The 21,497-nt window shown below is 36.9% G+C and overlaps 1 protein-coding gene across 6 annotated transcripts in view, besides 2 other annotated features; it reads right to left on the bottom strand.

Annotated features, from left to right (window-relative positions):
• MYRIP (myosin VIIA and Rab interacting protein) overlaps positions 1 to 21,497 on the bottom strand; it is a 451,408-nt gene that overhangs the window by 363,785 nt on the left and 66,126 nt on the right. The gene's annotated exons all lie outside the window — the stretch shown is intronic.
• Positions 17,914 to 18,413: an enhancer, noted in NCBI's record as "H3K4me1 hESC enhancer chr3:39919615-39920114 (GRCh37/hg19 assembly coordinates)". NCBI's record gives its function as "activates a minimal SCP1, AML or CMV promoter by ChIP-STARR-seq in naive H9 embryonic stem cells {active_cell/tissue: H9 hESC(naive)}" and the evidence as "EXISTENCE:reporter gene assay evidence [ECO:0000049][PMID:30033119]".
• Positions 18,414 to 18,915: an enhancer, noted in NCBI's record as "H3K4me1 hESC enhancer chr3:39919113-39919614 (GRCh37/hg19 assembly coordinates)". NCBI's record gives its function as "activates a minimal SCP1, AML or CMV promoter by ChIP-STARR-seq in naive H9 embryonic stem cells {active_cell/tissue: H9 hESC(naive)}" and the evidence as "EXISTENCE:reporter gene assay evidence [ECO:0000049][PMID:30033119]".

Raw genomic sequence — 21,497 nt, 5'->3', positions numbered from 1 at the left:
TTTAAGGCATGGGGGATAAAATGAACTTGGCCTGCAAAGGACAAAAACAACAACACTAATAATGAGAGATGTGCTTTCACTGTGACTGTTCTTTGCAGCAAGTGGTGCTTAGGCTGTATGGCTCACTGATCTTCATTCTTTCACCTTCAAGGGTGTTACCCTACCATGAACTGGCCCCTTCTCTGAAATTCACCCCTGACCGATGCACAGGGGTGGGCCCAGAGCAGACAGGGTCACACCACTGGGGCACAGCTGACTGGACCAGGCGTGCCACCCAACTTATGCAAAATGTCAGAGCCTCTGTCCTGGCAATTTGATATTTGATATTCAGTGAGTAGATGTTAGTCTTGGTGTTCTATTTCTCTCCTGCCTGAGAATAGCACCAAATATCCTTTTATTACTGAAATACATTTTCCATTTTGTTTTTTGTTTCCATTTATCACTTTAGTTTCTCTAAGTCACTGACACATGCTCCTTAGAATTCTCACAGAGCTGGCTGTGGTTGGCCAACTGTCCTAACACCATTTATTGACCAATCTATCTGACTTGGATGATCCATGGATGAGATACATAGGCATGTATATGCGTACGTGCACGCGCACACACACACACACACACACCACACACACACACACGAGTTTTTCTCAGGACTTTCTGGCCTGACCTGTTCTAAGCTGGTGACTTAGTACCTGATCTCAGGTCAGGAACATACTTTAAAACCTAGTATTGCAAATCATCTCTCATCATTTTTATTTTTCAAAACTGTCTGACTTTTTGACATTGCCCATTTATGTCCCCAGGTGAACTTTAAAATCATTTTACTAAGGTAGAAGTAAAAACCCAAATGAATTTTCTTATTGATTAATTTGTCAATTGATTTGGGAAAGAACTGCCATCTTTACAATATTAGTTCTTCTCATAAAGGAATTGAGATTCAGTAGAAGTTAAGAAATAAACTAAAAGTAACACCCAAATGTTTACCGCAAAAAAAGTTTCACATAGCGAAAAAAAAATATATATATGGATAAAATTAAAAGGCAAGCAACAATTGGCCGGGCACAGTGGCTCACACTTGTAATTCCAGAACTTTGGGAGGCCGAGGTGGGTGGATCACTTGAGGTCAGGAGTCCAAGACCAGCCTGGCCAATATGGTGAAACCCCGTCTCTAATAAAAATACAAAAATTAGCCGAGCGTGGTGGCAGGCACCTGTAGTCCCAGCTACTCAGGATGCTTAGGCAGGAGAATCGCTCGAACCCGGGAGGCGAAGGTTGCAGTAAGCCGAGATCGCGCCACTGCACTTCAGCCTGGGCGACGGAGTGAGACTCCGCCTCAAAAAAAAAAGAAAAAAAAAATGCAAGCAAAAATCTAGGGAAAACCAGGAAAGATAATTATCCTAATATATTAAGCACCCTCATAAAATACAAGAAAAATATAGAACTGTCTAAAAGATAAAATGACAAAGTTAAAGAGAAAAAGCAATTTACCATCTATGTCCAACACAGTTTAATAAAATATCACATATCATTAATAACCAAATGCTGCTAATTACACTAAGTTGCAATTTTTCATTTAATAAGATTCTGGGAACACAGGTACTTATATACATTTGTAGAGGGGCTATAAGTAAGTATAAATGTTTAGATGGCAATCTGGCAGTAATTATCAAACATCCTTAAATACTGAGCCAGCCATTTCAATCTGCGTAAGAATCTTCTTCAAGAAAATGAAAAAATGTGCAAAGACTTATGTACCAGGATGTTCATCTCAGTGTTGTCTATTACAGAAAAATACTGTAAATAAACTGAAAGTCCAAAAGCAGGACAGGTTAAGTTGTGGTACAATCACACAATACAATATTTTATGTCAATAAAATGTATTTAAAAGAAAGGCGTTTATGACATATTAAGGTAAAAAGTCAGAGGAAAAATGCAGCATATAGTTTACCAAAATAATACAATAATACAAGAAAGTATACAGCAACACTATTAAAATAGATCCAAATGAACCGTCTATGCAAGTGTCCATCAAGAGAAAAACAAACTATGGTATATTCACCCACGGGAACACTACACAGCAATAAACACAGACAAACTTCAATAACATATAACGGTATAGGTATATTGTATTGAGCAAAGTAAGTCAGATGGATGATCCCAATTGTATAAAGTTCAAAATCAGGCAAAACTAGTTTAGAATGTTAGAAGCAGTGTAGTGGTTACCCTCTGGAAGGCAGTGGCTAGATGGGGCCAGGCTTGGGAAGTGGTGACATTTCTTTATCTGGGTGCTGGTTACATTGATGTGTTCAATTTGTGAAAATTAATTTCACTATATACTTATGATTTATGCATTTACATGCATGTCATGGCTCAATAAGAAGTAAAATAATATAGTATGAATAGTACAATCTTGTATAAATAGATAGAAATATACTGAAAGAAAATCACAAAAAAATTACCAACAGTTATCTTTGAGTGATAAAATTTCGTATGATGCAATTTTTAAAAATTTGCTTTTGCACATATTTTCTCTTCCTTTTAAAATAAACATTATTTGAATAAACAAAAATTATCAAGGATATATATGACGATATTCATTTTAGTGTTATTTACAATAGCAAAATTGTTCAAGTTACTAAAATATCTAATAATAAAACATTGATTAAATTTGCTATTATATAGCTCTAAGATAGAATACCATACTGCTATGAAGTGGATACAGCACTGACATAAAAATGTTCAAAGCATATTTATAAATAAAAATTATAGATTAAAAAACTATATTAAATTGCCTCAATTTTTTGTTTTTCTAAACAATGTATGTGTGCATGCGTGTGTGTGTGTGTGTGTGTGTGTGTGTGTGTGATTTCCACTTAAAATAATTAACTAATCATGCCAAATGTTCACAGTGCTAATCTCTGGGCAATAGGATGTCTTATAATTTTTAGTTATTGATTGTTCCAATTTTCTCACAATGAACATGGATTGCTTTCTTAATGAAAATAAATGTTATTATCATGTTATAGGAAACAGCCTGAAAACTGGTCCCTATTGAATTATAATTGATTTCACATTAATTTATAGCTGCAGAGACCATAAAACAAGAGGTGGTACAATACCAGCTACTAAAAATTTCCATTTTATATAAAGGGCTTGAAATAATACTTAATGGCTACTCCATTAGCATCAACTGGTGAACAAACTAACAATTACTCAGGTTCCTATTATGCTTCAAGAATCAGAAAGAAAATTATATTTAAAGACTTGGAAAACTTCCAAAAAACCTGGGGATGAGCACAGGATAATTGCAGATCTTAGTGTAATTAATGCAAAGGTGGGTAAATCCTTCCAATCTGAAAAGGCCAAAAAATAAAAACATATAGTTCAGCCTCAGGCCTTATGTAAACTGCACAATTTACAAAAATCTAGAAGACATAAAACCATCTATAAAAGAGTTTTGGGTTTTATTTATAAGGCCATACAACCCACTTGGTCAAGTTTGATAACATCAGCTGAGATAGGAACCAAAACAAACTCTTACCATACTTGGCTTGCAAGAACCTCTTAAAACACAAAGGGGATGTGTCCCTTTAAAGTTTTGCCAGGTGACAAAAAGAAAAGCAGCGTGCTGACCACATTTATTTATCTGAGCACCCATGAGACATTATGTGAGAAGCATTTTATTGGAAGTGCTACAGAAAGTTATCTATGCCCTCCATTCCAAAAACCGAAGCAGGAAGTAGGTTATTATGAAGTGGTGGATGCTTAAGAGCAGTCATTCATGAGTGGCTTTTCTTACATTTTCCAAGTTCTCTATAATATCATTATATTAATTTTACAACTTAAAACTTACTTTTAAGGCTAGTCAAATGATCACTCTTCACATTTGATTATTCAACTTTCAGATCATGATACAATGCACTTCTTTAACTTAATAGAAAAAAATTCACACTCTGAAACAGTCTGTTTGCTCACTAGGCAAGAGTTAGGCTAAATTTAATTTACATAACTTACATAGATTAATAGAAAATCTAAATTTCTAGCAATGCACTTATGTAAGATTATCTTCTCAGTCCCCAACTTAGTCCACACTGAACCCATATGTGCTTAACCCCTAAGGCCTCTGCCTTAGGGAGTAGCAACTGCTGCCATCCAATATCCAAGATGACCTTACTTTCCTTCCTTTCACTCAATCACACACAGGAAGTCAGCCTTCAATTCTTAAATTCCACCTCTATTGTTTCAGTATGCCATCCCTACTCATCTCCATCCCACAACCTCGCCTGATTTCAGGTTCTCACCAGTTTTCACTTGGGCTAGGTAAGAATGTACCCAGTTACTTTACATTCTAAACCCTCACCCTATTGTCATTACTCCTAGAGCCAGGATAATGATCTCTCTTCACATGTAAAGCAGATTAAAGATATAAATTTTTAAAAATAATGAAAATAGAATTATTTTATTAACTTTTTATAACTTTAGGATAGAAGAAGCTTTCTAGAGGAAGACGGAAAATCCATAAATACAAAGAGAGATGTATTTGTCTATATAAAAATTTGAAGTACTATAACTAAAGATATCATAAAGTCAACAAAGTCAAAGTCATTATAAATAAAGTCAAAAGAAAAAAAACAGAAAAGGTATGTGTAACATAAGAAAAATGGTTAGTAGTCCTAAAATTTAAAAGAATCTCTACAAAATAACAAAAAATGGCAATTAAAAATTGACAAAGGATATTAAAAAGATATATTATTTTTATTCTTCATGTTAACCTATTGATGGCATAACACATTTCCACCCTGAATTAGTAAAATGCAATAATATTGGTCATTCCAAAGGTAGCAAAGATGTAGGGAAATTAGCTCCTTCATTCAGTAGAGAGATGAACTGATGCAACTTTTCAAAAAGTAGACTGTAATGTATTTAAATTAAATACCATTGATCCAGCAATACTAATTTTGGAAAAGTGAACTTAGAAAAACAAAGCACATGAGTGTAAAGGAATGTGTAATCAATGTTTACTACCCCACATTTTATAGTTGCAAATACCTGGAAATAATCTGAAAGTCTTCAATAGAGAATGATTACATTAAATGTGGTACACCTATTCCCTGGAATATCATGCAGATATTATAAAGAATTAGATCAACTTTCACCAATACAGAGGGGATGCTCATTATACATAGTTAAAAGAAAAAAAAATCTGAGCAATATGAATATCACAAACTTTATATATACAATGAAGCCTATATTTCTGTTTAGAATAAGGCAAGAGAAGATCATGAAAATTTTCTTCATACTATCTGACATTTAAAAATAAATATGCATTACCTTTAGGCAGCTTAAAAAAAAACAGGCTGATTTCTTGTTTGAACTTGGCAGGGTGAAAGTCAGTATTTCTCCCTTATATTGAAAATTGTTTAAAAAGCAACTGGGAAAATAAGAAACAAAAATGTAAATTTCATTTCAGCTAAACCAGGAGACAATAAAAAATGACAGAGACCAAATATACGTGGAAAGTTATCTAAAACAGAAGAAGTGGAGTGGGAGGAAGAGGAGATAAAAGGCTGCAGAGAGAGCTTCCTGAAGCTGCAGACATCAGCAAACACCAGCAAAACTACCCTTCTTCAAGGCAAGGGACACCACCTGAGGTGCCAACACTTGTTTGAAACAGGAAGCATTGATCAGCTGGCTCAAATAAACCCAGTTTGTTTGTTTCCCAAAAAGAAATAGCGACAATTATACAAGGAATCATACACAGAGAAGGCATATTTACTATAAGCAGTCTTCCTTTTCACTACTCCCCAGCCCTCAAATAAAAAATCAAAACAAAAAATACTCCTTTCTCCACTGGCTTTGGTGAAATAAAGTTGCTGACCAAATATTAAAAAAAAAAAAAAAAATCAGCTAACCTGGACCACAGCCCCTACCCCTATGAACTTTCCATAGATAGCTATTCATGATAAAATTAAACTCTTTTGATAATAAGTAATAAATAAGAACTCAGAAACTATACAAAAATATTAAGTTTTTAAAAAATAAGCACAAAAGTAAAACAACAGGAGAAGATCTCTCATTATAAGACTTACTGGAACACTGGAAAGAGTGACCAAATATTTTTTAAAAAATGAAAAACTTAATGATAAATGACATCCATGAATGAAGAAATGGGGAAATATCAAAAAATGATAAAATATGACATGGTAGGATTTGGGGAAGTTGTGGGGAAAAATAATAACCATTGCAAAAATTATGCCAAAAGGCATGCACGAGAAGTGAGAAATTACTAAAACAAAGTAAGAAACATAGTGGCAACAGCAGATGAAGAGACAAGAGGAAAGGAGCCAAAGGAAAATGGGGGAAAAAAAACGAGTTTAAAAGGTTGGAAGAATATTCTAGATATGGAGGAAAAGTAGAAGAGAACCCTTTCAAGAAGGAAATGGAGAGATGAAACAAATGATGAAATAAATAAACAAAAATAGAAAAATTTGAGATTATCTGGGAGGAGTAGAGAAGAATGAGTCTCAAGGAAAACTGATTTTTAAAAAAAATTTTAGATTTTTTACAACTATAGAAACAATCTTTAAGTTATTGATTCAGTTTTGGAATTATCCTGGTGTGGATTGTAAGGCATGGTTATAGTGTCAAAGACTAAAAAATGAAACCATAAAGGTAATAAAAGAAAACATGAGATGATTCTTTTATAATTTCAGAGTAGGAAATGCCTTTCTCAATATGACACAAAATTCAGAAGTCATTAAAAACACTGAATAAATTCAACATAAATTTTAAATGTCCGCATAATAAACAACATTATAAGCAAAGTCAAATGAGGAAAAAATTGTCTTTTTTTAATTATTATTATACTTTAAGTTTTAGGGTACATGTGCACAATGCGCAGGTTAGTTACATATGTATACATGTGCCATGCTGGTGCACTGCACCCACTAACTCGTCATCTAGCATTAGGTATATCTCCCAATGCTATCCCTCCTCCCTACCCCCACCCCACAACGGTCCCCAGAGTGTGATGTTCCCCTTCCTGTGTCCATGTGTTCTCATTGTTCAGTTTCCACCTATGAGTGAGAATATGTGGTCTTTGGTTTTTTGTTCTTGCCATAGTTTACTGAGAATGATGATTTCCAATTTCATCCATGTCCCTATAAAGGACATGAACTCATCATTTTTTATGGCTGCATAATATTCCATGGTGTATATGTGCCACATTTTCTTAATCCAGTCTATCGTTGTTGGACATTTGGGTTGGTTCCAAGTCTTTGCTATTGTGAATAATGCCACAATAAACATACGTGTGCATGTGTCTTTATAGCAGCATTATTTATACTCCTTTAGGTATATACCCAGTAATGGGATGGCTGGGTCAAATGGCATTTCTAGTTCTAGATCCCTGAGGAATCGCCACACTGACTTCCACAATGGTTGAACTAGTTTACAGTCCCACCAACAGTGTAAAAGTGTTCCTATTTCTCCACATCCTCTCCAGCACCTGTTGTTTCCTGACTTTTTAATGATCGCCATTATAACTGGTGTGAGATGGTATCTCATTGTGGTTTTGATTTGCATTTCTCTGATGGCCAGTGATGGTGAGCATTTTTTCATGTGTTTTTTGGCTGCATAAATGTCTTCTTTTGAGAAGTGTCTGTTCATATCCTTCGCCCACTTTTTGATGGGGTTGTTTGTTTGTTTCTTGTAAATTTGTTTGAGTTCATTGTAGATTCTGGATATTACCCTTTGTCAGATGAGTAGGTTGCGAAAATTTTCTCCCATTTTGTAGGTTGCCTGTTCACTCTGATGGTAGTTTCTTTTGCTGTGCAGAAGTTCTTTAGTTTAATTAGATCCCATTTGTCAATTTTGGCTTTTGTTGCCATTGCTTTTGGTGTTTTAGACATGAAGTCCTTGCTCATGCGTATGTCCTGAATGGTAAAGCCTAGGTTTTCTTCTAGGGTTTTTATGGTTTTAGGTCTAACGTTTAAGTCTTTAATCCATCTTGAATTGATTTTGGTATAAGGTATAAGGAAGGGATCCAGTTTCAGCTTTCTACATATGGCTAGCCAGTTTTCCCAGCACCATTTATTAAATAGGGAATCCTTTCCCCATTGCTTGTTTTTCTCAGGTTTGTCAAAGATCAGATAGTTGTAGATATGTGGCGTTATTTCTGAGGGCTCTGTTCTGTTCCATTGATCTATATCTCTGTTTTGGTACCAGTACCATGCTGTTTTGGTTACTGTAGCCTTGTAGTATAGTTTGAAATCAGGTAGTGTGATGCCTCCAGCTTTGTTCTTTTGGCTTAGGATTGACTTGGTGATGTGGGCCCTTTTTTGGTTCCATATGAACTTTAAAGTAGTTTTTTCTAATTCTGTGAAGAAAGGCATTGGTAGCTTGATGGGGATGGCATTGAATCTGTAAATTACCTTGGGAAGTATGGCCATTTTCACGATATTGATTCTTCCTACCCATGAGCATGGAATGTTCTTCCATTTGTTTGTATCCTCTTTTATTTCCTTGAGCAGTGGTTTGTAGTTCTCCTTGAAGAGGTCCTTCACGTCCCTTGTAAGTTGGATTCCTAGGTATTTTATTCTCTTTGAAGCAATTGTGAATGGGAGTTCACTCATGATTTGGCTCTCTGTTTGTCTGTTGTTGGTGTAGAAGAATGCTTGTGATTTTTGTACATTGATTTTGTATCCTGACACTTTGCTGAAGTTGTTTATCAGCTTAAGGAGATTTTCGGCTGAGACAATGGGGTTCTCTAGATATACAATCATGTCATCTGCAAACAGGGACAATTTGACTTCCTGTTTTCCTAATTGAATACCCTTTATTTTCTTCTCCTGCCTGATTGCCCTGGCCAGAACTTTCAACACTATGTTGAATAGGAGTGGTGAGAGAGGGCATCCCTGTCTTGTGCCAGTTTTCAAAGGGAATGCTTCCAGTTTTTGCCCATTCAGTATGATATTGGCTGTGGGTTTGTCATAGATAGCTCTCATTATTTTGAAATACGTCCCATCAATACCTAATTTATTGAGAGTTTTTAGCATGAAGCATTGTTGAATTTTGTCAAAGGCCTTTATTAGTCTTGCTAGCAGTTTATCAATTTTGTTGATCCTTTCAAAAAACCAGCTCCTGGATTCCTTAATTTTTTGAATGGTTTTTTGTGTCTCTATTTCCTTCAGTTCTGCTCTGATTTTAGTTATTTCTTGCCTTCTGCTAGCTTTTGAATGTGTTTGCTCTTGCTTTTCTAGTTCTTTTAATTGTGATGTTAGGGTGTCAATTTTGGATCTTTCCTGCTTTCTCTTGTGGGCATTTAGTGCTACAAATTTCCCTCTACACCCTGCTTTGAATGCGTCCCAGAGATTCTGGTATGTTGTGTCTTTGTTCTCGTTGGTTTCAAAGAACATCTTTATTTCTGCCTTCATTTTGTTATGTACCCAGTAGTCATTCAGGAGCAGGTTGTTCAGTTTCCATGTAGTTGAGTGGTTTTGAGTGAGATTCTTAATCCTGAGTTCTAGTTTGATTGCACTGTGGTCTGAGAGACAGTTTGTTATAATTTCTGTTCTTTTACATTTGCTGAGGAGAGCTTTACTTCCAACTATGTGGTCAATTTTGGAATAGGTGTGGTGTGGTGCTGAAAACAATGTATATTCTGTTGATTTGGGGTGGAGAGTTCTGTAGATGTCTATTAGGTGCGCTTGGTGCAAAGCTGAGTTCAATTCCTGGGTATCCTTGTTGACTTTCTGTCTCGTTGATCTGTCTAATGTTGACAGTGGGGTGTTAAAGTCTCCCATTATTAATGTGTGGGAGTCTAAGTCTCTTTGTAGGTCACTCAGGACTTGCTTTATGAATCTGGATGCTCCTGTATTGGGTGCATATATATTTAGGATAGTTAGCTCTTCTTGTTGAATTGATCCCTTTACCATTACATAATGGCCTTTTTTGTCTCTTTTGATCTTTGTTGGTTTAAAATCTGTTTTATCAGAGACTAGGATTGCAACCCCTGCCTTTTTTTGTTTTCCATTTGCTTGGTAGATCTTCCTCCATCCTTTTATTTTGAGCCTATGTGTGTCTCTGCACGTGAGATGGGTTTCCTGAATACAGCACACTGATGGGTCTTGACTCTTTATCCAATTTGCCAGTCTGTGTCTTTTAATTGGAGCATTTAGTCCATTTACATTTAAAGTTAATATTGTTATGTGTGAATTTGATCCTGTCATTATGATGTTAGCTGGTTAGTTTGCTCGTTAGTTGATGCAGTTTCTTCCTAGTCTCGATGGTCTTTATATTTTGGCATGATTTTGCAGTGGCTGGTACCGGTTGTTCCTTTCCATGTTTAGTGCTTCCTTCAGGAGCTCTTTTAGGGCAGGCCTGGTGGTGACAAAATCTCTCAGCATTTGCTTGTCTGTAAAGTATTTTATTTCTCCTTCACTTATGAAGCTTAGTTTGGCTGGATATGAAATTCTGGGTTGAAAATTGGAACGCAGTTCCTCACCAGCAATGGAACAAAGCTGGACAGAGAATGACTTTGATGAGCTGAGAGAAGAAGGCTTCAGATGATCAAATTACTCCCAGCTACGGGAGGACATTCAAACCAAAGGCAAACAAGTTGAAAACTTTGAAAAAAATTTAGAAGAATGTATAACTAGAATAACCAACACAGAGAAGTGCTTAAAGGAGCTGATGGAGCTGAAAACCAAGGCTTGAGAACTACGTGAAGAATGTAGAAGCCTCAGGAGCCAATGCGATCAACTGGAAGATAGGGTATCAGTGATGGAAGATCAAATGAATCAAATGAAGTGAGAAGGGAAGTTTAGAGAAAAAAGAATAAAAAGAAACAAGCAAAGCCTCCAAGAAATATGGGACTATGTGAAAAGACCAAATCTATGTCTGATTGGTGTACCTGAAAGCGACGGGGAGAATGGAACCAAGTTGGAAAACACTCTGCGGGATATTATCCAGGAGAACTTCCCCAATCTAGCAAGGCAGGCCAACATTCAGATTCAGGAAATACAGAGAACGCCAGAAAGATACTCCGCGAGAAGAGCAACTCCAAGACACATAATTGTCAGATTCACCAAAGTTGAAATGAAGGAAAAAATGTTAAGGGCAGCCAGAGAGAAAGGTTGGGTTACCCTCAAAGGGAAGCCCATCAGACTAACAGCGGATCTCTCGGCAGAAACTCTACAAGCCAGAAGAGAGTGGGGGCCAATATTCAAAAATTGTCTTTTCACATCAAAGACAAAAGAATGATTTCCCCCAATATAAAAATTTCAACAACTGGAGTTTTTTTAAAAACAGCAAAAACCCAATATAAAAATAGACAAAGAGAAAAATAGCAAAGGAAATAGAGTTCACAAAAAGAACTATAAATGGCTCATAAATCTATCAAATATATAAAAAGATAAGTGCAGACTGAAGGACTTTTTGTTATTTAACCTATTGGCTTTGAAAAGATTGAAAAGCTTGTATCATATCATGCTGGTAAGTCTATGAGGAAATAGGCACTTTCATACATTGCTATTAGGAATGTAAATTTATACCACCTCTATAGAGGGCAATTTGTCAATATCATTATGATAGGGAGGGAGAAGGGGGGTGGGGGGAGGGAGGGAGAGAGAGACATGGATTGAGATTCATTTTCTTTGATTTTTAGTGGTTCCACCTCTAGGAATTTACCCTACAAAGACAATGCACTTACATTCATGCAAAAAAAAAAAATAATAATGACTGTATAGCCATACAATGGAAAAATATGTGGCTGTTAAGGAAAAAAAGGAAGAAAAATTATTTATGAGCGAATATGGAAAGTTCTTCAAGAACTTACATATTTAAAGGGTTAAGTACAAAAAGCAAGATGCAGAAAAGTAGGTATGGTATGTTTTCATTTGGATAAAATGGGAGAAACAAAATATATGTTTCTATTATATACATACACCTTGCAGTTTGAGTTCAAAAGCAGTCATCTGGCAGAACTTCTTGCTTGTGTGAGGTCAGTGTTTTATATTAAGTCCTTCAACTAACTGGATGGGGGCCCATCCACATTGTGGAGGGTAATCTGCTTTACTCAAAGTCCAACCATTAAATGTTAATCTTCTCCAAAAATCACCCTCATAGAATATCCAAAATAATGTTCAGCCACATATCTGAGCACTGTGGCCCAGCCAACTTAACACAAAACATTAACCATCACAATTGTGTTTTCTTTCTTGGGTTTATAACTTTAAGCAGCAGGGAGGAGCAGGGAGGGACAAGTCCATGCCATCTTGTCTGAATTGTGATCTCTCCCTCTCATTTCTTAAGGGTGGTTTTGCTTGTTCTGAAATTCTAAGTAGATGCTGTTTCCTTTTAGCACTTTAGGATAGTATTCCATGGTCTTCCAGATATTCTACTGGTTTCTAGTCAGATATCAGCTACAATCCATTGTCTGCCTTTTGTTCTCTGGTTGCTTTTAAGGATTCTGCTTTGATTTTCAGTTTTAATATAACGTGACTAGAATTTGTTTTGTGTTATATTTTTGTCCTGATTTGTAGAGAGTTTATAGAGACAGCATCTTCAATCTGTAGATTTCATAAACTTTCATCAGCTTTGGAAAATTCTCAGGTACCTTGTCTTCGAATAATAACTCTTTTTGAATCTGTTTTTCTTCCTGTGGCTCCAATCACACACATTAGTTGGACTTTCTTACTGTATTGTTCAGGTCAGATAGTCTATCTTCTGGTTTTATATCCTTTTGTTTTCTCATACATCATTCTGGATATTTTTCTGACCTAGATAAGAAATTCTTTTTTTATTTATTTTCTCTTCATGTATATTAAATCTGCCATTAAACACATATTTAAGTTTTTTTTGCATTTTTCAACTCTAAATTTTCTTTTTTTATATAATTTCAACTTTTAGATTTAGTGGGTAGATGTGCTGCTTTATTATATGATACATTTTCTGCTTTATTATTTTTTAGTGGTCCTGGTTTTTCTCCCTAAATTCCTAATCTTTTCCTTTATCTCCTTAAATGTAGTAACATATAGTTATTTTTAAATCTGTGTCTGATAACTCAGTATCTGGGGACTCTGTAGGTCTGTTATGTTTTCCATTTCTTCTGTTCCTTTATGTTTATTTCTTCTCATCTACACTTGTACACGGTTATTTTCCTCTAGAGAGGATGTATGTTTGTTTCCGTCAGGTGCTGACGGTACCAGCAAGCTTGCATGCATTAGCAATTTCAGGATTGGGACAATTTGAAGCTAAGCTGCAGTTCCTGCACAGGCCTTCCACATCCAGTTCACTCTTACTTAACAGGTAAGACTTTTTGAGATTTCAACCCAAAGTGAGGGTTTGTCAATAGGATCTCTCCCCTTGCCAGGCCTCTAATTCCTATCTCCCTATCTCCAAGGAACTGTCAAAAGTGCTGTTTCCTCAAAGTGCAGTTGAGGAAAAAACTGGCCTCAAATGCTGTTCTCACATTCTTGGATCATTGTGCCCCATAATGGGCTCTGGCCCAATGACTCTTCAGTATCTTTTTATCTCTACAATGGCTTTAAAGAGACATATTTTTTATTTTTCTCTCATATTTTATTCAGCTTTTATAGATGTCCTCAGTGAAAGGATATCCCAATTGTCTGATCTGCCATTAACAGATATACTCTTCTGCTATATTAATGCGGAGGGGGGGCAGGTGCAGTGGGGAGGGTTATATGATTATGGTCCTTGGATTGTCCAACCCTGTATTCCTAATTCAAAGTATGTAATAGCAAACATACCATATTTATTAGAAGTCACACACTGTTTTAAGCACATTGCATATTTAACTAATGTATTCCTCATAACATTAGGAAGCAGGTACTATTATTAACGTTCTTTTACAAAGAAGAAAATTTAAGCTGTGAGAAAGTAAATAACATGCCCAAGATCATCCAGCTTAACTGCCTCCAAAGACCATGCTCTTAGCCACTGAGGAAAACTGAGCCTAGTTAAAATTATTCAAAGTCATATTAATCAGTCAGCCAGAAATGATGCATAATTGTGTTCTGACAAAAATAGACAAATTAAAATAATATTTAAAATAATTTTAAATGTCATTTGTGGGTTCTAAATCTCTATTTTGATACCCACCTTTGCAAACTATCTTAAGACTGGTGATAAGATTTGTGTCCAGCTGGACATGCAAAGTTGCCCAACGTACAAGCCTAATATATCCTTTGATGAGATGCAAAAGGGAAGGATATTTTGGAGAGGATCAAATCTGCTCTGAGCATCTAAACTGAAACTAGGCCACAGGGAAAAGAATTAACATGCAAAACACCAACCACTTCCACCTTTCATGATCATAAACCCATGGGTCTTCAAATTGCAAAGGATGACTTCAGTGCATCACTCATTATACTACAGCTCACTAAAAAAAAGCTAACAAGAAAAAAGGGAGCATGTTCACATATCAGGTTTAATATTCATAAATCAGATTAAATATTATAAAATGCTAAGGATTAATTTTAACAAAAATACTTCTAGTAAAATGTATTGGATTAAAACATTCATTTCCTATGCTGTCTCTCAAAACTCTAGAAAAAAGATGGGAAAAAAACCCTCAAAAGTCATTTAAAAAAATGCTCAGGGACGAAGAAACGAGAAAAAAAGACAAGAAGAAGAAGAATGTCAACAAAATTTTAAAAGATGGAAGTACGTAGGAAGGAAAACTGACTTGGTATAGTGAAAAAAACTGAAATCTAAGCTTACAGAGTAGAAATGCAACAAGATAATGGCTATTTGTTCGGTAAGAGCTAAAAAGGTTAAAATATCAGGAGTCACCAGGGTCCTCCAAAAATGAAGATAAAGGGTGAAGCAGAAAGGTAACTTCCTCTCAGGAGAGACTGGGCTAGAGAGGCTCTGGATTTAAAGACACTAGGCATAGCTGAGCAGTGTAATGTCACACTAAAAATAGGAAGATTCATTAAAAATCGACATCAAGAACATTGAGGCCTCTGACTCACTGTCCGTACTTGTTTCCCAAGATAGTGGCATTTAGGTTATACCTGAGCAGCAGACTAAAACATTTCTTTGAGGAAAAAACTGATACGTTTAAATGAAAGCCCTGGAGATATTACTAACTGGTAATTTTCACAACTGGGGAGCAGCAAGGAAACAGCTTGCTTTATTCTATGGTGAACCCCAATCTCCCCACTTGTTAAGGTGCCTCCAATCAGCATTTTATTGCTTATTCTTAAATATGAGTAAACAGCCCAAGATTATCAGATATTTGAGGAAAACTCCAACTTGAAAGACAAAGAACAAAACTAACAAACAGGATAACAGAAGAAATGGGTGTAATGCTCAGAGTTGAAGAAAACCTAAAACAATCCTATGATATCTAGGTATGTCAGAAGATACTGATTTTATCCATGAAAAAGAAACAGGATGCTAAATTAAAAAAATAGTTAGTGAACAAGAATAAACTTATGGAAGTTGAAAACATAATGACAATAAATAATTCAATAGAAAGCTTGGAAGATAAAATTGAGGCAACTTCCCCAAAACAAACAAAGAGAAAATAGTAAAAAGAAGAAAGTTAAAAGAGATATAGAAAGAGACAACAGAGAGGATTGAGAAGAATAAATTATTTTTAAAATTATGCAAAAATTCCTCAAACTGAGAAATGCTAATTTCCAGATTAAAAGGACCCACTGAGTCTCCAACACAATGAATGAAATATGACATCAAAATATATCAATCAAAGAAAATTTCAGAACACCTGGGATAAATAATAACAACAAAATGTGCTACCATTTATTGCATTCTATGGGTAAAGAACTGCTTAAATATTTATGTGTATTGATCCATTTAATTGTCACAGACCTAAGGAGCTAGAAAGAATTATTATTTGCAGATGAGTAAATAGAAGCAAAAAAAGACCAAGTAACTTGTTGAAGCTAACACATTTATGAAGTAGGAGATAGTAATATGAAATGAACCAAGCTGTCTGGTTCCAGGGAGGCCTCTTAGCATCAGCATTGTTTTCACTGGAAAGAAATATAAAAACAAAGTTGAATTTTTCTCAATGAAGAAATGGCTGAATAAATTTGAGAATGCCTACTCCTTAGAAAATTATGCAGCTTTTATCATTTTTTATACAACATCAACAAAGTTTAAAATGCAGCTTTAAAACTGAGTTATTCCAAGTGATTTCCAGCAATGGAAAACTAGATTGCGTACATTAGCCCTTCTGCAGATAACAATTATAAACTATGGAAAAATATAAAATAAGTAATTGAAGGCACTAGAGAGAAGCCAAAAGATGACAAATATTTGAGGAATTTGACCCTGGGGGGAGTGGGAAGGGATAGCATTAGGAAATATACCTAATGATAAATGACGAGTTAATGGGTGCAGCACAGCAGCATGGCACATGTATACATATGTAACAAACCTGCACGTTGTGCACATGTACCCTAAAATTTAAAGTATAATAATAATAAAATTAAAAAAATAATAATAATAAAAAGGGGAACCATATGCACTGGGTAAGATCCATATTTATAAGGCTTCTTCAATGAAAACAGTCACCAGTTTGTGTGGCTAGAAGTCATGAAGTATCAGAGAATGAAGTTCAGTGTTGCCAGGGTGGCTGGAAATTGAGGTGGTAGTGGGAACCCAGAAAGAAAGGAGTCCCAGAGAAGAGCTAAAAAATCTACCTACAAATTTCCTTCAAATCCTTGTCTGATCCCAGACCTGTGTGTGTGTGTGGGAGAGATGCCAAGGAGGCCAGTGAACCGTGAAAAATCTGAGCAGAGATTTCAGCTGCTGCCCTTCACAGGAAAGAAGAGTGTGGAGTTGAAGGCCAACAAGTTAGAGGGTCTTAATAAATATCTCAAGCTTTCCTATGAAACCAGAGAAGAACCACATTTTATGAGTACACACTATGTCCCAGGATTAAGATATTCACCATAAGTCTAACGACAAAATCTGAAAGAGCTCCTTTCTAACAAAATGTAAAATGAAGCTCTATACAATGAAGATGATTTAACTGCCTTAAAAAAGAAAACTCAATACACTTTAGGAGAAAGAAAACTACAGAAACCAGAGTCTCTGTACTATATCCTCCACAATGTTCAATATACCATCAACAATTGCTAGACATGTGAGGAAATAGAAAAAAAAAAGTCACCCAAGGTCAAAGAAAAAGGAAACAGACCCTGAGATAACCCAGATGTTGGGATTTGCAGAAAAAAATAAGACAAACAAATAAGACCAACAGGTAATTTATAAGAGCTATTATATAAATGAAATAAAAACATTTCCCCAAAATGACTCTCAAGTTAGAATAAGAAAGGATAACAACTGACTTTATGTTCTTCATATTTAAAACTAAAGAACTCAAAGAATAAAATACACAAAAACATATCAAACTCTCTCCCTCTACATATATATCTATATACATAGATATATAGATATATATAAAATTATTATTTTTTTGAGACAGAGTCTCGCTCTGTTGCCAGGCTGGAGTGCAGTGGTGCGATCTTGGCTCACTGCAACCTCCGCCTCCCAGGTTCAAGTGATTCTCCTGCCTCAGCCTCCCAAGTAGCTGGGACTACAGGCGTGCGCCACCATGCCCAGCTATTTTTTTTTTTTTTTTTGTATTTTTAGTAGAGACGAGGTTTCACCATGTTGGCCAGAATGGTCTCTATCTCTTCACCTCATGATCCACCTACCTCAGCCTCCCAAAGTGCTGGGATTACAGGTGTGAGCCACTGTGTCCAGCCCAAACAATATTTTAAAAGAAGTTGTAGTATTTTTCATCAAAGTCAATTTGCTACAAAAAATACAAATTTATGTATATTGATCCAATTCATTGTCATAGACATAAGGAGCTAGAAACTATTATTTGCTGGTGAGTAAATAGAAGCAAAAAAGATATATATGTACATGTCTATACATACAAATGTATATATATATACACCTCTGTGTATATATATACATTTGTATTTTCAAAAATGTTCATTCAACACCTTCTGAAAGTACCAGGCGCATACTGTTGAAAAATCAGACCTAAGATGGCCGAATAGGAACAGCTCTGGTCTACAGCTCCCAGCATGAGTGACGCAGAAGATGGGTGATTTCTGCATTTCCATCTGAGGTACCGGCTTCATCTCACTAGTGAGTGCCAGACAGTGGGCACAGGGCAGTGGGTGCAGCGCACTGTGCTCGAGCTGAAGCAGGGCGAGGCATTGCCTCACTCGGGAAGCACAAAGGGTCAGGGAGTTCCCTTTCCTAGTCAAAGAAAGGGGTGACAGACAGCACCTGGAAAATCGGGTCACTCCCACCCTAATACTGCGCTTCTCCGACAGGCCTAAAAAACGGCACACCAGGAGATTATATCCCGCATATGGCTCGGAGGGTCCTACGCCCACGGAGTCTCGCTGATTGCTAGCACAGCAGTCTGAGATCAAACTGCAAGGTGGCAGCGAGGCTGGGGGAGGGGCGCCTGCCATTGCCCAGGCTTGCTTAGGTAAACAAAGCAGCCGGGAAGCTCGAACTGGGTGGAGCCCACCACAGCTCAAGGAGGCCTGCCTGCCTCTGTAGGCTCCACCTCTGGGGGCAGGGCACAGACAAACAAAAAGACAGCAGTAACCTCTGCAGACTTATATGTCCCTGTCTGACAGCTTTGAAGAGAGCAGTGGTTCTCCCAGCACGCAGCTGGAGATCTGAGAATGGGCAGACTGCCTCCTCAAGTGGGTCCCTGACCCCTGACCCCCGAGCAGCCTAACTGGGAGGTACCCCCCAGTAGGGGCAGACTGACACCTCACATGGCCGGGTACTCCTCTGAGACAAAACTTCCAGAGGAACGATCAGACAGCAGCATTCACGGTACATGAAAATCCGCTGTTCTGCAGCCACCGCTGCTGTTACCCAGGCAAACAAGGTCTGGAGTGGACCTCTAGCAAACTCCAACAGACCTGCAGCTGAGGGTCCTGTCTGTTAGAAGGAAAACTAACAAACAGAAAGGACATCCACACCAAAAACCCATCTGCACATCACCATCATCAAAGACCAAAAGTAGATAAAACCACAAAGATGGGGAAAAAACAGAGCAGAAAAACTGGAAACTCTAAAAAGCAGAGCGCCTCTCCTCCTCCAAAGGAACGCAGTTCCTCACCAGCAATGGAACAAAGCTGGACGGAGAATGACTTTGACGAGCTGAGAGAAGAAGGCTTCAGACGATCAAATTACTCTGAGCTACGGGAGGACATTCAAACCAAAGGCAAACAAGTTGAAAACTTTGAAAAAAATTTAGAAGAATGTATAACTAGAACAACCAATACAGAGAAGTGCTTAAAGGAGCTGGTGGAGCTGAAAACCAAGGCTCGAGAACTATGTGAAGAATGCAGAAGCCTCTGGAGCTGATGCGATCAACTGGAAGAAAGGGTATCAGTGATGGAAGATCAAATGAATGAAATGAAGCGAGAAGGGAAGTTTAGAGAAAAAAGAATAAAAAGAAACAAGCAAAGCCTCCAAGAAATATGGGACTATGTGAAAAGACCAAATCTATGTCTGATTGGTGTACCTGAAAGCGACGGGGAGAATCAAACCAAGTTGGAAAACACTCTGCAGGATATTATCCAGGAGAACTTCCCCAATCTAGCAAGGCAGGCCAACATTCAGATTCAGGAAATACAGAGAACACCACAAAGATACTCCTCGAGAAGAGCAACTCCAAGACACATAATTGTCAGATTCACCAAAGTTGAAATGAAGGAAAAAATGTTAAGGGCAGCCAGAGAGAAAAGTCGGGTTACCCTCAAAGGGAAACCCATCAGACTAACAGCAGATCTCTCGGCAGAAACTCTACAAGCCAGAAGAGAGTGGGGGCCAATATTCAACATTCTTAAAGAAAAGAATTTTCAAACCAGAATTTCATATCCAGCCAAACTAAGCTTCATAAATGAAGGAGAAATAAAATCCTTTACAGACAAGCAAATGCTGAGAGATTTTGTCACCACCAGGCCTGCCCTAAAAGAGCTCCTGAAGGAAGCACTAAACATGGAAAGGAACAACCGGTACCAACCACTGCAAAATCATGCCAAAATGTAAAGACCATCGAGGCTAGGAAGAAACTGCATGAACGAATGAGCAAAATAACCAGCTAACATCATAATGACAGGATCAAATTCACACATAACAGTATTAACTTTAAATGTAAATGGGCTAAATGCTCCAATTAAAAGACACAGACTGGCAAATTGGATAAAGAGTCAAGACCCAACAGTGTGCTGTATTCAGGAAACCCATCTCACGTGGACAGACACACATAGGTTCAAAATAAAACGATGGAAGAAGATCTACCAAGCAAATGGAAAACAAAAAAAGGCAGGGGTTGCAATGCTAGTCTCTGATAAAACAGACTTTAAACCAACAAAGATCAAAAGAGACAAAAAAGGCCATTATGTAATGGTAAAGGGATCAATTCAACAAGAAGAGCTAACTATCCTAAATATATATGCACCCAATACAGGAGCACCCAGATTCATAAAGCAAGTCCTGAGTGACCTACAAAGAGACTTAGACTCCCACACAATAATAATGGGAGACATTAACACCCCACTGTCAACATTAGACAGATCAACAAGACAGAAAGTCAACAAGGATACCCAGGAATTGAACTCAGCTCTGCACCAAGTGCACCTAATAGACATCTACAGAACTCTCCACCCCAAATCAACAGAATATACATTTTTTTCAGCACCACACCACACCTATTCCAAAATTGACCACATAGTTGGAAGTAAAGCTCTCCTCAGCAAATGTAAAAGAACAGAAATTATAACAAACTGTCTCTCAGACCACAGTGCAATCAAACTAGAACTCAGGATTAAGAAACTCACTCAAAACTGCTCAACTACATGGAAACTGAACAACCTGCTCCTGAATGACTACTGGGTACATAACAAAATGAAGGCAGAAATAAAGATGTTCTTTGAAACCAACGAGAACAAAGACACAACATACCAGAATCTCTGGGACGCATTCAAAGCAGGATGTAGAGGGAAATTTATAGCACTAAATGCCCACAAGAGAAAGCAGGAAAGATCCAAAATTGACACCCTAACATCACAATTAAAAGAACTAGAAAAGCAAGAGCAAACACATTCAAAAGCTAGCAGAAGGCAAGAAATAACTAAAATCAGAGCAGAACTGAAGGAAATAGAGACACAAAAAACCCTTCAAAAAATTAAGGAATCCAGGAGCTGCTTTTTTGAAAGGATCAACAAAATTGATAGACCACTAGCAAGACTAAGAAAGAAGAAAAGAGAGAAGAATCAAATAGATGCAATAAAAAATGATAAAGGCCTATCACCACTGATCCCACAGAAATACAAACTACCATCAGAGAATACTACAAACACCTTTACACAAATAAATTAGAAAATCTAGAAGAAATGGATAAATTCCTGGACACATACACCCTCCCAAGACTAAACCAGGAAGAAGTTGAATCT

Source organism: Homo sapiens, chromosome 3 (assembly GCF_000001405.40).
Source record: "Homo sapiens chromosome 3, GRCh38.p14 Primary Assembly".
Classification (NCBI taxonomy): Eukaryota; Metazoa; Chordata; class Mammalia; order Primates; family Hominidae; genus Homo; species Homo sapiens.
The sequence above is the reverse complement of the archived record's forward strand: the minus strand, read 5'-3'. Positions and strand labels throughout refer to the sequence as shown.